Below are 16,687 nucleotides of genomic sequence, written 5' to 3' on the forward strand. Positions count from 1 at the left end.
AACAATTAAGATCTGGAAGGCAGATCTGCTCTTGGATCTACTAGCACTGGCATTTTTCTTTGGCCTCACGTCATAAGTAGCTTAAGGTCATCATTGTGCTTTGACTGCTTCTTTACCTGGAATTATATAGCAGGTCTCATCCTGACTTCTTGGGGTCAGCTGTGTTCATGTTGGCAAACTGCCAGTGACCTAAAAATGCTCACTTTTGTTAAGATGTGGAGGCTGTTGCCATCACAGTAGGTATGTGACTACTCACATAGTGTCTGTCTTTCAAAGTTCTTGCTCTGGGTGCAACTGTGGAGGCAAGGACAATGACAATGCAGAAGAATGATTAAGAGTGTGAGTGTCTGGCTCTCCCAGAAGACTGTGAGAAAAGGATTTGAGCTCATAGATTGTATCTGGGAGGTGAGCACCGGAAGCACGGGTATAGGGCAATGGGCAAGTGAGACAGGAAAGGCAAGACATCCAGTGTTGGGTACTTCATTCAAGTGAAGTGGGTTACAGCTGTGCACAGCAGGAACCCAATCCTGGTAGGAAATTTTGGGAAAATGTGACCCAAATTTATCTCACTCAGGCAGTATGTCACTGCTACGTAGCTGCTCCACAGGAAAATTAATTTCCTAGCACTAGTTCCTAGAGCTTCCCCTCAGTCTCAGAGATGCAGTTGCTGGCAGTGGGAAGTCAGGCAGGTGTGTGTCAAAATGGTAAGACCCAAGGAGATGTAGGGGAGGGACGAACAGTGTCAACTGTAAGAATATATTAGAATAGAACTCTTCATGTTCCAGTGTGGCCCTGGGATACAATTTATGTGCAGTTTCAAAGTGAGATGCCACACCACTAAGTGGGCATTCTGAAGTAGATATTTTAAAGCTAGTTTCATGATGTTGAGCTCCTCATCTATTTCAAGGATTTGGAAATTTCAAGGAAATGTAGTTAGGATTTTATGATAATACTTTATCTAGAGGAATCTGTCCTGTGAGCCTCACATTTTCATCTGCAAGTGGACTTGCACCTTCCTTTTGATCAGGCCTGGGAGATCTTCAATCAGATCACTTGGAGAGCCTCATCTATGTTGTATGAAGTTTGGTGATACAATAAACTGGAATCTGAGCCCCTCTTGAGACAACCTAGTATGTCAGAGAGACACACTGATGAACTGATTTGGAGGGGAAGTAAAGGTGAACTCCTGAACATTCCAACAAACTGTTAGAGGAGTCATAGATGTTTCCCCATGGCCAGTATGCTGGACTGGACATTCTTGACAACATTCTTTGTCAAGAATGTTGCTTGAAAGAAGCAATAGTACAGTGAGAATACAAATGGATTGAAAGAGAACCAGGAGTTGTGGCTAAAGTGGCCACCTGAATGAGAGCTGTTGCTCATGCCAGTTTAATGGTAGGAGGGGATTATCCATGACAGTGTCCACAACTGTTCATCTGCCACCAGAGCATCCTACCCTAAGTGACAAATGTACCAACCAGCAAGATACATCCCTTTCTCCTAGTCTCTTTTCCTCAATCTGATCCTGGCAGAAGAAAACAAAAAGCAACGTGGGGAAGAGGGAGACACATTGGTGGGAAGAGAGAAAGGACCATGACTCTTTGTCTCACTGTAAGTGCTCAACTACAGGAGACGCCCGAAGTGGAGAAGAAGTTAAAATCAGATGTTGAAGCAAGTTTAAGGTTTGGATTCTTATCTGGGGCTGGACATTTGTCCACAGGACTTGCTGTTATCTGAGAGTGAGAAAAAAATGTTATGTGACTTGCTGAAGGCCAAGATTTCATTTGAGGACAAGGGAAAATCTTTTCCTCCAGTGTCAGAGCCAGAAGAAAAGCTGTTTCTTGATAACATCCTATGGATGGTGTTTGCTGAAGCATGGACTGTGGAAACAGACCTCAATTGAAATTCTAGTTCTGTAGCTAATTAGCACTGTTGTCTTGGTAAAGTATTAATTAGGATTCTCCAGAGAAACAGAAGTAATAGAATGTATATAAAATCAACATATTTTATGGTTAATAATTATGATATTATGTATTTATTACATAATATAAGAAATTGTCTCATGCAATTATGAAGGCTGGCAAGTCCTAAATTTGCAGAGCTGTTGTACTAGTTTGAAGAAAGGCAGGCAGGAGAATTTTCTTATTTGTAGGAAGGTTAGCTTTTTGCCTATTCAGCCCTTCAACTGATTAGATATGGCCCACCTAGGTAATGGAGGGCAATCTGCTTTATTCAGTCTACTGATTCAAAATGTTATTCTCATCAAAAAAACACGCTCACAGAAACACTCAGAATAATGTTTGACCAAATATCCGGGCATCTCATAACCTAGTCAAGCTGACACATAAAATTAACCATCATACTTACACTTTATGAATCCATTTTTATAATCTCATGAGTTGCTTAGAGATTAAGTGAGAAAATTTGTGAAGCATAGGCAGAGATAGAGGTTCAGAAAATGGTAGCCATAATTATTACTAATGGAATTGTTTAGAGAAGCAAGAGTTGGATCCAAGCTTAGGAAATAGAGAACCAGGAACAGTATAGTCACAGGGTCAAATGTAGGCCAGTAGTCAGACCAGCAAAAATAGAACGTCCCTAAGACAAGAAGACTATAAACCTAAGGTAAATTTTGTCTTTGACAAAGAATGCTTTATATTGTTCCTATAGAAGCGGGAGGGGGGCAGTGCAAAAATGGCTGAGGTAACACCTAAAAACACTTGTTGGGCATTTATTGTATAAGAAATACTGTACTAGATTTTGGAGACTCAGCATGAATGAGACACCATCTCCACCCTTGAGGATGTTATAATCTAGATGGAGAAACGTTTGATAACTGTACAATTCTATTGTGCTTTAAGGGAGCCATTATTATAAAGCATAATGGGAGTGGTTTGCTATAATTAGGGGGTCAGGGAAGGCTTTAGAGAAGTGGCCTTATTTCCTTGGGAATTTCAAAGGACAAGTGGGACTTTGCCAAATGGATATGAGGGGTAGACTTTTGGGGCAGAGGAATAGCATGAGTAAAGTTATGGAAATACAATTTTTCAGCCTTTTGGAGAACAGGATATCATGTGATGGTGCTGAGTTGCAATGTGAGTGGACAGCAGATGAAAAGAGTTCCAAGAAGAGTGCTGCAATAGACAGACTGGGGTCGGTAGCCAGGAAGCCTTGAATGCCCTACTAAGAATTTTGGACCTAAATCCATCTAAAACACAAAAGTGACATGCTTACACTGGTGTTTTACAGAGAAAAAAAAGAAGATGCAAAATACTAAGTCGGAGTTTCTCTAGACCACTATAGTCCATAGACCTTTTTCTTTTTTATTCTGTGTTTTCAAAAATGACTTTTTTTCAAGAATTAGCTTGCATAGCTTTTGGGAACCCAGTCTTTATGACTGAAGCAATTCACCCTGTTAAGCAGATTTGCATTTAAGTTGAATTTAAATAGAGTTGTTCTAATCATGTTTTAGAGTAGGGTCATATGTGAGCAATAAATTTGAGATGTGATTTATGTACACTCAAAATTACCACCAAATATTTTATTAATAAATCACCTTTAAAGTACAACTCAGCATAGTTCTCAATTCATTAAGTGAACAGATATTTATTGAGTACCAAATACTATTCTAGATGTGGTGGATATAGCAGGAAACCAAACGGAAAACCTGGCCCATTATATTTGCATGTTAAAATAGTCTTATCACATAATATTCTTTCTGACATTCAGACCTTGGTGAGCACTATAAACCATGTCTCTCAGGCTTTTCCCCACAAATGACACCATTATTATGTTCATTTCATATTGGCTCATTGTGGACATGTTAACAAGGTAATAGGTAAGTGTTAGTTTTCTGTTCTTCTGCTGGTAATTATATTTGACAGGCAGTATTGTGGCTGCCTAAGGATATAGAAAGATTACTGTCCATGAGACTGCTTTTATATCAACAGAATATCTTCATTAGGTGTCCCTTTGTATAACCAGAGAAGCCCAGTATAATGTGACTGGCAAACATGGCTCTTCAGTGGCTTAGAGCATCCTGATGTATTTAGTTTTTAACACAGTCTTGGGCAGTATGGGGCAAAAGCCATATGGAACATTCATCTTCATTTGACCATTTAGGTATGCACATTCTTATCCTTTGACGTCTCATACCAAACTGTAGTTCAGTGAAGAAGAGTGTTTGAAGTTGCTGGAGAATTGTCTGTTTTCTAGCAGGTGACCCAGCAGACTAATAAATATTCAGCAGATAGAGAGTCTTCATCCACAGGAGAGAAAATGACATTATGTCTTGAGGGTTATTGAGGAGCCTCTCCTTTTTTCTTGGCATACTGAAGAAGAATAAATTTTAACTTATACTCATATTGGCTTTACAAATATTAAAAAATTAGCCAGAGCTCACAAAATATGAAGACAGCTTTTTAAATATTTTTTTTTGGTAAGGAGAGAATTATACATGGAAGTTAATTCATTTTTCCTTTAGAAGACATATTAATACTTTCTATCAATTTCTGAAATTATTAAGTGGAGGGAGGTTAGAATATTAAGGGCTATAAATATTCTTTAAGTGGAGGTAATATTAAAGAACCCTCTATACCTTATTGAATAGAAATTCAGTAAGTGATCATAGTTAGCAACTGTATTCAGTTATCAAAGGGTTGCTTAATAAATCATTGCTACTTAGAATGTTAGTCTGCTGGTTCCTCGACATTTTTAAATCATAATTTTGGGCCAGTATAGATAATTTGGGTGAAAATAAAATGAAATGGCCTTTTTTTTTTTTACTTTTATTTCAAGGTCAGGGGTACAAGTGCAGGTTTGTTGCATAGGTAAACTTGTGTCATGGAGGTTTGTTGTAAGATTATTTCATCACTCAGATATTAAGCATAGTACCCATTAGTTATTTTTCCTGATCCTCTCCCTCCTTCCCCTTTCCATCCTTTGAAAGGCTCCAGTGTGTTGTTCCCCTCTACATGTCCTGTTGCTTTAGTTTTATTTCTTTTATTATTTAGATGGACCTAAAATACCCTCAAATATTCCATTTGTACGACTAATTATGATCATAAACTTCATGTTGAGCTAGGCACTGTTCAAATTGCATATATTTAGCCCTCACAAAACTCTGTGAGGAAGATACTATTACCTACCTGCATTTACACAAGAGGAAACAGAGGCAGAGAGCGATTAAAGAATTTGCCCAAGGTCAAGTAGCTATTAATGAAAGAGCCAGGATTAAACCCAAGCAATCTGCTAATTTTTAACCTTTATGCAGTACTGCCTCAAAGGAAAAATCTGTTTATGAACACTGAGAAATTATTTTGTAATTTCAAGTCTCTACATACATGTAGTTTAAAGAACTAAACAGTTCTAGAAAGTTTTATAGGGAAGATTAATCCCTTGGAAACAGTTCCCTATTTCCTATCCCTAGAGGCAACCACTTTCAATGCTTTTAACAGATTCAATTGGTGTTTTCGTTCAGATCTTTAAATAGCACATTTCTTTGCTACTTTGTGATATTTTTAAGTTTTCATTTTTTTACACACCTCTCCACATATCTTCTCGTTAGGTTAGTATCGTTTATGTTATTACGATTGTGCGTGTGCTATTGATAATCTAATCATGGAATATACTTGATTTTCTTTCTTGCATAGCTCTTCGTTCCTCTTGTCATTAAGAATCATCTAATTTATTAATCTTATTATTTAGTTTACTATGGTATTATCATAATTAATCCTCAAACTCCCTCTAGTTGTATAAATACCCTCTAAGACATTAACTCTTTTATGTTCTGGAATAAATCTCCCCCACAGTTTGGTTGATTTCCAGGTTCACTGTGTAGTGAATGTCCTGGGAATATATCTGTACCATGACTCTGGGGTCCTTTTTGCCTCTCTGTCGGGTGAGAGCCCCGTTCCTATGTACTGTGCTTACTTTTCTTAGTTGACCGCTCTGGCTTGGTTCTCCATTAATTACCTGAGAAAGACTACATGGGAGATGAGGTTTTGAGAAATTTCTGCTCTGATAACTGTCTTATGAAGTGAGTTAATATTTACAAATTGCTAAGAAAACTATCTGGCACATGGCAAACAAAACATATACATTTTAAAAATAATTATACCTTCACTCTTGACTGGCAATTTGAAAAGGTATTGTATTTCTGTTTGTAAATCATTGTTCCTTCCTCAGGATTCTGAAAGCATTGTTCCATTGTATCCTAGGTTCCTGTATGGAATTTGAGAAGCCCAATGCTATTCTGACTTTTTATCTTTGGTTTTGAAATCCATTGTTTTAAATTTCATGATGATATTGGTATACATTTTCTTCATCCTGTTGGTCACTCAGTGGACTTTTTCAATCTAGATATTCATAACATTTAAGTCTGTAAATGTTCTGACATGATATCTTTGGTGACTTCTCCTGTACTCTTACTCCTTTTTCCTTGGTCTTCTCTTTCTTTTTCTAGCTTTCCTGTTATTTTGATGCTGGACTTTCTGATTTTTCAATTTTTATACTTGTCTTCTTATTTTACATATATTTGTCATTTTCTTCTAATATCTGGAGACTTCGTTCACTTTATCTTGTAACCCTTTTCATTTCTGTTGTCCTCTTTTATGTTTCAAGACTGCTTTTTCTCTTCCTGTGTTTTCTCATAGCATACTCTGTTTCATGAACATGGTGTCCTTTCACTCTTAGGACATTAATCATGGTGAGTAATCAAGGGATAGTGATAATGAAGTGTTCTGTTAATGGAGTTCTCACATCCTTCTTCTTGGGTTTGTCTACAAATTTGCTGTGGCTTTTGTCTTTTATGTTAGAAGCCTCCCTCAAATGTTTAACCCGGCTTTCCACTCATACTTAAGAGCTCTGCAATAAAACACTAATCGAAAGCTCTGTGCAACTGGAGATGTGATTGTTAATGATTAAATTCAATGTGGGGTAACGGCGAGCCATTCATTCTCTCAGGAAACACCTGATTGTCAATTTAAGTATTTTTAGTTTGTTTGTTTCCTTAGAAAATATTCTTCAAAATTCCTGCCCAGGCAATAAAAGCCATCTTTCAGCATTCTGATTGCCATATACACTTTCACTGATTTCCCGGTATTCAATATGGAATCTGCATTCAGTTGTGTGTGGTGTTCCATAGTGCAGAAAATAAATCTCCCATCTTTTTCTAGGCTGGTGGAGAGGCAGTCATCTAACTGGGCAGAATGGGAAGAGGAACCAGGTGTATACCTAGTTTTTAAGGAGACTTTCATCCTATATTTAGCTGCCATTGTCAGAAGTATCTGGTGGTGTTAATTCCTGAGCCTCTTAAATCCCATGGTGCAAAACAAATTGTTTCTTGGCTTTTCTCACTGAGTGTTTGAATTCAGCTTTTTCAGATCTGAGAAAGCAGTCATCACTCCTTCATCTGCTTCTAAGTTTTCAAAATTTTGTTGAGTTACAATTCTCACAGCCTTTATAGGTATATAATCCTTAAAAAATGGAAAAAAAGCTCTTAAATATATAACTTTAATGAAATTTCAAGAAGGAGCAGATGAAATTATGTGCATTTAGCCAACCATGTTTATTTGGAAACTTGTTTATAGAGAATTTTTTTGTTTTGCCTAATTACCAGCTTCTCTGTTAGATGTCTGAAAGTCTACAATGGGGTGTGTGTGTGTGTGTGTGTGTGTGTTTGTGTGTCTGTCTGTCTCATCCTTCCCTCCTTAGGAATAGGGGTGGGAGGGGGAATGTAGCACCTAGAGACATATAAAAGCACAGGAGAAGAAAAGCAGCATGATATAGGGAAAAAGAGCACAGGCTTAGGAGGAAGAGACCGAGATTGAATCTTCTGCTGACTTTGAGTTATTAATCTTTTTGGCATCTCACTTTCCTTATCTATGAAGTGATTAGAATAACAGCTGTCTTGTAGTTGCATTTTGCAGATGGAGATAAAGTGTCATCCTGCACAAGCCTTGAATATGGTGCCCAGTGGAGGCCATGTTGTATCTGGAATGAAGGAAGAACATTTGCCAGCAGGAGATGGGAAGGCTGGAGGGAATCTTTTTGAGAATATTTTCAGATATGTATAGTTTGTACAATTATATCTACTTTGTAATATTGACCAGGGCTAAACTACTTGGCTAAAATATCTGGCTTCTGAAAGCCCCCACTAATTTCTAGATCTTTTAGTTATTATAATAACCTTACTATAGGAATTGGGTCACAGTGGTTTAACAAATGTGGAGTGTACCTTATAGCAGACTATGAATTTGGGGCTAATTGAAATAGAGACTTTTGGGGAAAACTCAGTGTATGGTTGCCTGAGCTGGTGACAACAGTTGTGGAGTGTGTGTGTGTGTGCGTGCGTGTGTTGAACTAAAACAGATACTTTTACCAGAGAGCACTTCATTGACTCATGTATCCTTTCATTATTAGCACAAAGAGATTCTCTTGCTTTATCCTATTTAAAAAGAAAGCCTCCAAAATAGAGAGCAGTTGAAGAAAAATAATAATAAAACATATGAATAGTTCTTGGAAGGACACAATCCTCCTAGATAGGGAGAAAGATAATTTAGAGTGGCATAGTAAAGGCCTTAGGTAATAGAAAAGTATTTAATAGAGTTGTTCATGTGGCTGTAATGTTTAGTTAGAAGGGAAGATAAAAGATAAGCTGTTTCCAATTTCTAATTTACCTGTAATCTTGAGTCTTCACCTGTCATCTTTTCAAGAAAGGCTAACTTTTGCTGCTTAAACATCACTTTCGTGAGTAGACTATAAACACCTCTATTTCAGCCAAAAACCAAAAAAATTCAGCATGAATAATGTGAACTATTCACCCCCTCCTTAATACTTTCTTTGCAAAGGAAGATGTTTTTCTTTTACTAAATAAAAACTATATTCAGAAGGCTCTTCTTAGTGTAAAAATAGGGGTATCACTTCCTCAAACAAGGGCTACAGTGGATTTGGTATTATATAATGTGTATTCTCTTTTGGAAAACAGCAAGGACATTTCTAGAATCCTTTAAATCTGGCTCTCCACAGTTTTCTGCCATCTGTCAGCTCTTCTGTGGTTATTAAATAGTGATGGCATGACAGGTGAGAAATTGCATTAATTGTGCAATAGAGAAAATGGAACAAATTAAGTATCTCTGTATTGATTCTTTTTAGAAAAAAAAGTAAATAAAACAATGTTTATAATCATTGGTTCTCTAGGACAACATCCAATAAGTCTCAAGAGCTTTCTTGAAGAGTATGTGTGTCTGTGTGCATGTTTTAAAGTTTCTGTTTGCATTAAGGCAAATCTTTGGTATAAAATAGTCTTGGGTTCTTAAAACTTTACTGTCTCTCTCTCTTTTCTGAAGTTCATATTTTCCTTTTTAAGGTAGTATCTTTCTGAGCCTTGTATTTTTATTTCAGAAATTCTTTAATGTCTGTGTACCACGCTAAGGGTATTCTACAAATTCTTAGTTTTTCATTCAAGGCCCTCTACCCTCTGACCCCAATTTACTTTCCCTATTTTTTGGTCAATATTTTTCTACATAAATCCTTCCTTTCAGCCAAACAGGAATGCTTAGTGTACCCCACAGACCTTTCAGTTTTGCCTCTGTGTCAAAAATCCTCTCCCTTCCTCTGCACTTACCTGCTACTAGCCCCTCCTTAAGATTGGATGATTCCCTAACCCTCCTAGTCCAGATACGCAGTCAGTTCATCTATGCACTTCCACAACCCAGTGAGGTCACTCTGGAACCATTTAGCATGAACTGGCAGTTCGCATTCCATTTAGGTATTTTTTTTTTAACTCGGCTTAGAATGTAACCTCTGTGAAGGCAGTAGGTTTTATATTTGTTTCATAGTATTTTTTTCCCTGACATTAAAATGTTCACTTGTGTGTTGCTTGTCTGTCCATCAATCATCTATCTACCTATTTTTACTCTCTGCTATTTGTTCCCACTTGAATATAAGCTCCAAAAGATATCAGGAACCTTGCACAGGCTACAGAGGTTGCACATGGCAGACATTTGGCTCTGCAGCTCATGCTTTTAACCAGTAATCTACGTGGGCCCATGAAGCTTATCAATGACTCCATCATTGCCATTTCTAACTTTACTTACCTTTCAACAGGATTTTGACACGTTGACCCTTTATCCTTTGAATGTTGCACTTCTCTTGGCTTCTGTGACACCCTTCTCTCTCTCTTTTTCTACATTCCAGCTAATTATCTTGTCATCTTCTTTTGACAGTTTAAATATTGGTGGTCCCCGGTTTTGTCATCATCATTTTTCTGTGCTTTCTCTACAGTCCTCTTCCTAGCCTAGTCCTCTTGATCTTAGTGGCATGACACATTACAGGATCACGATCAGTTATAGCACGTGTCAAAACTACTCACTCATAAGAATTGTTATAAGGATTTGTGAAAATTTTAAATTTTTAATTAATTAGACTCACCTCAAATTTACCATTATAAGAATGTCACACTTATGCATTTATTTTTCAATAGTGTGTACCTACTTGTGTGTGAAAACATGGAATTAGAGTTAGCTGTAAGTGAATTTCTCATAATTCTTAGCCTATTTTATATTTGCTGAAAACATCCATGAACTATGATTATTGATGTGTCATTAAGAGTTATAACAATTTTGAAATATTATAGTCTATAAACTGTGGATTTATAGGTATGTTTCTTTTCTTGATTTATCCATGGGCACATTTTTAATAACAAAGAGAGATGAAGAAAATGTATATGCATCTACATCCTCATGGTATAGAAATGAGAATGAGGCTGTCCTTACAATCTCCAAATCAAAGACAAAGTGATCATTCAAATAGTGTGTGCAATAATGTTACTTATAATAATATCATGAATAAATAGAAATACTACTCACTATACTTTTTAATGATAAAATGATAATTTAAAAATTACTAGTAATACATTTTTATTTCCTTGTATTACCTGTGGGGGTTTGAATTTAGTCTTCAAAATATAGTTCAAAATAGTTTTTATGTTAGATTAACCATATATGCATTTTTTTCTCTCCAAGAAATGATGTTTTAAGATAATTAAATATGTGATTTTACTGATCCTTTGGTAGTAAAATGCTTTTGCGAGTATGATCTATAAAAACAGTTTGGGAGTTCTTTGCTTTATTTGGCCAACTACTTTTGTTTGTAAGTGTGTGTGTTTGGTTTTCATTACAGTCTGAGTATGTTCCTGGGAGTGTGTCTCATATGAATGTCATTCACATCTGTCATAGCAGAAGAAAAGTTGAAAACCTCTGCTCTAGGCTATTTTATATACTCTTTTGTATTTAACTCTTGTCCATATGTTGATGACTCTTGAATCGATATCATCACCCACAATAACTTATCCAGGGCTGCAGTCATTTATTAAGCCACCTACTGGGCATCTTTATGTGGATGTCCTACCAGTTTCTGACTTAAAGTTTATTTTATCTGATATAAATGTAGCTCCTCCTGCTCTGTTTTGGTTTTCATTTGCATGAAATGATTTTCTCCATTCCTTCACTTTCAGTAAATGTGTGTCATTATAGGTGAAGTGAGTTTCTCATAGACAGCATATAGTTAGGTCTTGTTTTTAATCTATTTAGCCATCCTTTGTCTTTTAGTTAGAAAATTTAGTGAAGTTAGGTCACAGGGAAAACTGCTGCCCCCCAAACTGGAAAGACAGACAGGCAGAAACAAAGAACTTAAGGAAGAAAAACTCCAAACTGAAACTTATGTGGGAACCAGGACCAGGGTAGGGAAACCTGAAATATAACTGATTAATTGCTTTAGGCTTATAGACTAATGTGAGTGTTTAAAACTCCATAGGGTCGGAGGATGGCGATAGAGAGGCCCTCACACTTTTGTGAGCTTTACATCCAGGAGCTTGACCAGCTTCTAAGAATGAAAAATTCCCCTATGCTTCTGGCAGGAGGAGAAGAGAAGAAACCATGTGGACATATGCCAGAGCATTCTGTTCTTAACAAAACCTGCCTTTAAGAGGAACTATTTTATTTAGCACAGCCTGAACTGTAGGGGTTTTTATCAGAGCCTACCCAATCTAGGGGAAAGGAAATACCCAACTCCAGCCACCTCCTAGCCTTCCACATGGGGGAAGAAAAATTCACAGCTCCAGCCCACTCTAACCAACCTGTCCCACCTGAGTCTTGTGGGGTGGAGATGGAGAAGCACTTGTGAAATTCATAGTTCAGAGGCACAGTCTTAATGAAAGAATGAGACCTAATCATATAGAATGCTAACCCCTCAACAACTTCCCACCACATTACAAAAGGTCTGTTTATTACAGTCCCTTTTACATAATACATCATGTCATGTCTGGTTATCAAGAAAAAATGGCAAGGGATACTAAAAGGAGAAAGCACAGTTTTAAAACATAGAGCAAGTATAAAAACCAGACTCAGATGTGGCAGGAATATTGGGAGTAGACCTGGAATTTAAAACAGGTATGGTTAACATGAAAAGGATTCTAATGGATAAAGTAGACAGAATGTAAGAACAGATGGTCAATGTAATCAGAGAGATGGAAATTCTAAGAAAGGATTGAAAAGAAATGCTACAGAAGAAAAAATCTGTAGCAGACATGAAAAATGCCTTTTTTGTGCTAATTAGTAAACTTTACATGGCTGAGGAAAAAAAATCTCTGAGCTTGAAGATATATTAATGGAAACTTCTAAAATGGAAAAACAAAGAAAAAGAAAACTGAGAAAAAAACAAAACAAAACAAAAAGCCAAAGAACTGTGGGACCACCATAGAATGTGTAAATGCATATAGTGGGAATATCAGAAGAAGAAAACAAAAAGAAACAATAGGAATATGGGAAACAATAATGACTGAGAATTTTCTAACATTAATGTCAGACAACAAACCATGTATTCAGGAAGCTCAGAGAAAACCAAGCAGGATAAATGCCAAATTGCCAAATCCCTCTCTCTCTCTCTCTCTCTCTCTCTCACACACACACACACAGAGGCATATCCTATTCGAACTGCAGAAAACCAAAGATAAAAATTCTTGAAGAAATTCAGGAGAAAAAAAAATTCTTACCTAGAAGACCAAAGAGAATTACCACTGATTTCTTAGAAATCATGCAAACAAGAAGAGAAAGGTATGAAATATGTAAGTGTTGAGGGAAAAAAAGCAACTTAGAATGCTGCACCCAGTGAAATTATCCTTCAAAAGTAGAGGAGACATAAAGCCATTTTCAGACAACAAAAATTGAGGGTTTTGTGCCAAGCAGACCTACCTTACAAGAAATGTTGAAGGTCTTCATAGAAGAGGAAAATCATATAGTTCAAATCATGGATCTACATAAAGAAAGAAAGAGCATCAGCGAAAGAATTAGCAAAATTAAAATTAAAACTTTTCCCTTATCATTAATTGATCTAACAGATAACAGTTTGTTCAAAATCATAGCAACAATGTATTCGATTATATACTCTTATATAAAAGTGAAATGAATGACAGCAATGATACAGTGATGGGAGAGAGAATTAGGCTTCTTTTGTTATCATAAGGTTCTTGTACTCTCTATGAAGTAGTATAGTATTATCTAAGGGTATGCTGGGATTAATTATAAATGTATATTGAAAACTCTGTGGCAATCGCTTTTTGTTTAAAAAAAAGTATATTGCTATGCTAAGAAAAAAGAAAAATAGAATATCATAAAATGATTAATGAAAACCTCAAAAAGAAGACAAAGATTGGAAGACTAAAATAGAAGCAAGGACACAGGTAGTGAAAAGAAAGCAGTAATAAATATAGTAGTGTCACTTGTGTCAACAATCAGTGGTCTAAATATACCAATTAAAAGATACAGAATATCAGAGTGGATCAAAAGACAAGACCCAACTACGTGCTGTCTACAAAATACTCACTTTATTAAAAAATATACAGATTAAAAGCAAATGGAAGAAGAAATATATATCATGCTAATACTAAAATGAAATCAGAATAGCTATATTAATTTCTGACACAACAGACTTCAAAGCAAGAAAAATTATCAGGGATAAATGGGCATTACATAATTTTAAAAGGGTTAATTCTCCAAAAAGATATACACAATCTTTTTGTGTATGTGCCTAACATGAGAACCTCAAAATACATGAGTAAAAACTGACCAAACTAGAAAGAGAAACAGATGAATTCACTAATATAGTTTGACAATTAGACACTCCTCTTTCTGAAATAAACAGAGTCTGCTGGCAGAAAATTCTTAAGGACATAGCAATAATACCACATTAATCAACTGGATATAATTGACATCTATGAACTACATCATTCAGTGACAGCACAACACACATTCTTCTCAAGCTCACATGGAACATTCATCAAAATAAACCATGTTCTGGGTCATAAAGCAGACCTTAGCACATTTAAAAGAACAGAAATTATCATACAATATCTGCATTCATGCCACAATAGAATTAAAATGGAAATCAATAACAGCTGGAGAACTCCAAAATTATTGGGGATTAAACAACACACTTTTAAGTAACCTATGGGTCAAAACAGAAATCTCAAAAGAAATTAAAAATATTTTAAACTAAATAAAAATAAGATAAAATTTTTCAAAATTTGCAGGGAAGGCTGTGCTTAGCATTGAATGCACATATTAGAACAAAAGAAAGATTGGAGAGTAATGATCCAAGCTTCCACCTTAGGAAACTAGAAAAAAATTAGATCCAAAATAAGCAGGAGAAAACATATAATAAAAATTAGTGCCAAAATCAATGAAATTGAAAACAGGAAATCAATAGAGAAAATTAACAAAAATAAAACCTAGTTCTTTGAAAAGATCAACAAAATTGATGAACCTCCAGTCAGGCTAAGACAAAAAAGAAGGAAGACAAATCACTAATATCAGTAATGAAAAAGAGGATATCACTGTAGTCTCATGGACATTAAAAGGTTATACAGCAATATTATGAACAACTCTCTATGCCCAAAATTTGATAACCTATGTAAAATGAACCAATTTCTTGAAAGATAATTCTCACAGAAGAAGACATAGATTATCTGAATAGGCCTATATCTATTACAGAAATTGAACCAATAATTAATAACAGTTTCAAACAGAAGCACCAGGCCCAGATGGGTTCACTGGTGAATTCTACCAAACATTTATGAAAGAAATTATACAAATTCTCCACAATCTCTTCCAGAATACAGAAGCATTGGGAATACTTCCAAATTCTTTGTGAGGCCAACATTACTCTAATACTAAAACCAGACAAAAACATCACAAGAAAAGAAAACTATAGCCTGGTATTTCTCATGAACATAGATGCAAAAATTCTCAACAAAATATTAGTGAATTGACTCCGACAGTTATTTAAAAAAATACACCATAACCAGGCGGTGTATATTATCCCAGGTAAGGCAAGACTGGTTCAACATTTGAAAATCATTTGAATTGATGTGTTCAGCACATCAAAAGGCTAAAGAAGAAAAATCACATGATCATAACAATAGATGCAGAAAAAGCATTTGACAGTGTGGAGCCAAGATGGCTGAATAGGAACAGCTCCAGTCCACAGTTCCCAGCATGAGCGATGCAGAAGATGGGTGATTTCTGCATTTCCAACTGAGGTACTGGGTTCATCTCACTGGGGAGTGTCGGAAAGTGGGTGCAGGACAGTGGGTGCAGTGCACCGAGCATGAGCCGAAGCAGGGCAAGGCATCGCCTCACCCAGGAAGCGCAAGGGGTCAGGGAATTCCCTTTCCTAGTCAAAGAAAGGGGTGACAGACAGCACCTGGAAAATCAGGTCACTCCCACCCTAATACTGCACTTTTCCAACAGTCTTAGCAAATGGCACACCAGGAGATTATATCCCACCCCTGGCTCGGAGGGCCCTACGCCCATGGAGTCTCACTCATTGCTAGCACAGCAGTCTGAGATCAAACTGCAAGGCAGCAGTGAGGCCGGGGGAGGGGGCGCCTGCCATTGCCAAGGCTTGAGTAGATAAACAAAGCAGCTGGGAAGCTCGAACTGGGTGGAGCCCACCGCAGCTCAAGGAGGCCTGCCTGCCTCTGTAGACTCTACCTCTAGGGGCAAGGCACAGCCAAAGAAAAGTCAGCAGAATCCTCTGCAGACTTAAATGTCCCTGTCTGACAGCCTTGAAGAGAGTAGTGGTTCTCCCAGCACGCAGCTGGACATCTGAGAATGGACAGACTGCCTCCTCAAGTGGGTCTCTGACACCCGAGTAGCCTAACTGGGAGGCACCCCCAAGTAGGGGCAGACTGACACCTCACACGGCCTGGTACTCCTCTCACACAAAACTTCCAGAGGAACGATCAGGCAGCAACATCTGCTGTTCACCAATATCTGCTGTTCTGCAGCCTCCACTGCTGATACTCAGGCAAAGAGGGCCTGGAGGGGACCTCCAGCAAACTCCAACAGACCTGCAGCTGAGGTTCCTGACTGTTAGAAGGAAAACTAACAAACAGAAAGGACATCCACACCAAAAACCCATCTGTACGTCACCATCATCAAAGACCAAAGGTAGATAAAACCACAAAGATGGGGAAAAAACAGAGCAGAAAAACTGGAAACTCTAAAAAGTAGAGCACCTCTTCTCCTCCAAAGGAATGCAGCTCCTCACCAGCAATGGAACAAAGCTGGACGGAGAATGACTTTGACGAGTTGAGAGAAGAAGGCTTCAGACGATCAAACTACTCCGA

General features: G+C 37.1%; 1 protein-coding gene and 1 long non-coding RNA gene across 5 annotated transcripts in view; one reads left to right on the top strand and one right to left on the bottom strand.

Annotated features, from left to right (window-relative positions):
* NELL1 (neural EGFL like 1) overlaps positions 1-16,687 on the top strand; it is a 906,136-nt gene that overhangs the window by 586,869 nt on the left and 302,580 nt on the right. The window lies entirely within an intron of this gene.
* On the bottom strand, positions 3,587-6,148 carry NELL1-AS1 (NELL1 antisense RNA 1). The gene is made up of 2 exons (NR_199070.1): positions 6,119-6,148; positions 3,587-4,331 (listed from the first exon to the last, which is right to left on the bottom strand). It is a non-coding gene; the product is annotated as an NELL1 antisense RNA 1 (long non-coding RNA).

The sequence above is a fragment of the Homo sapiens genome, chromosome 11 (genome assembly GCF_000001405.40).
Source record: "Homo sapiens chromosome 11, GRCh38.p14 Primary Assembly".
Lineage (NCBI taxonomy): Eukaryota > Metazoa > Chordata > Mammalia > Primates > Hominidae > Homo > Homo sapiens.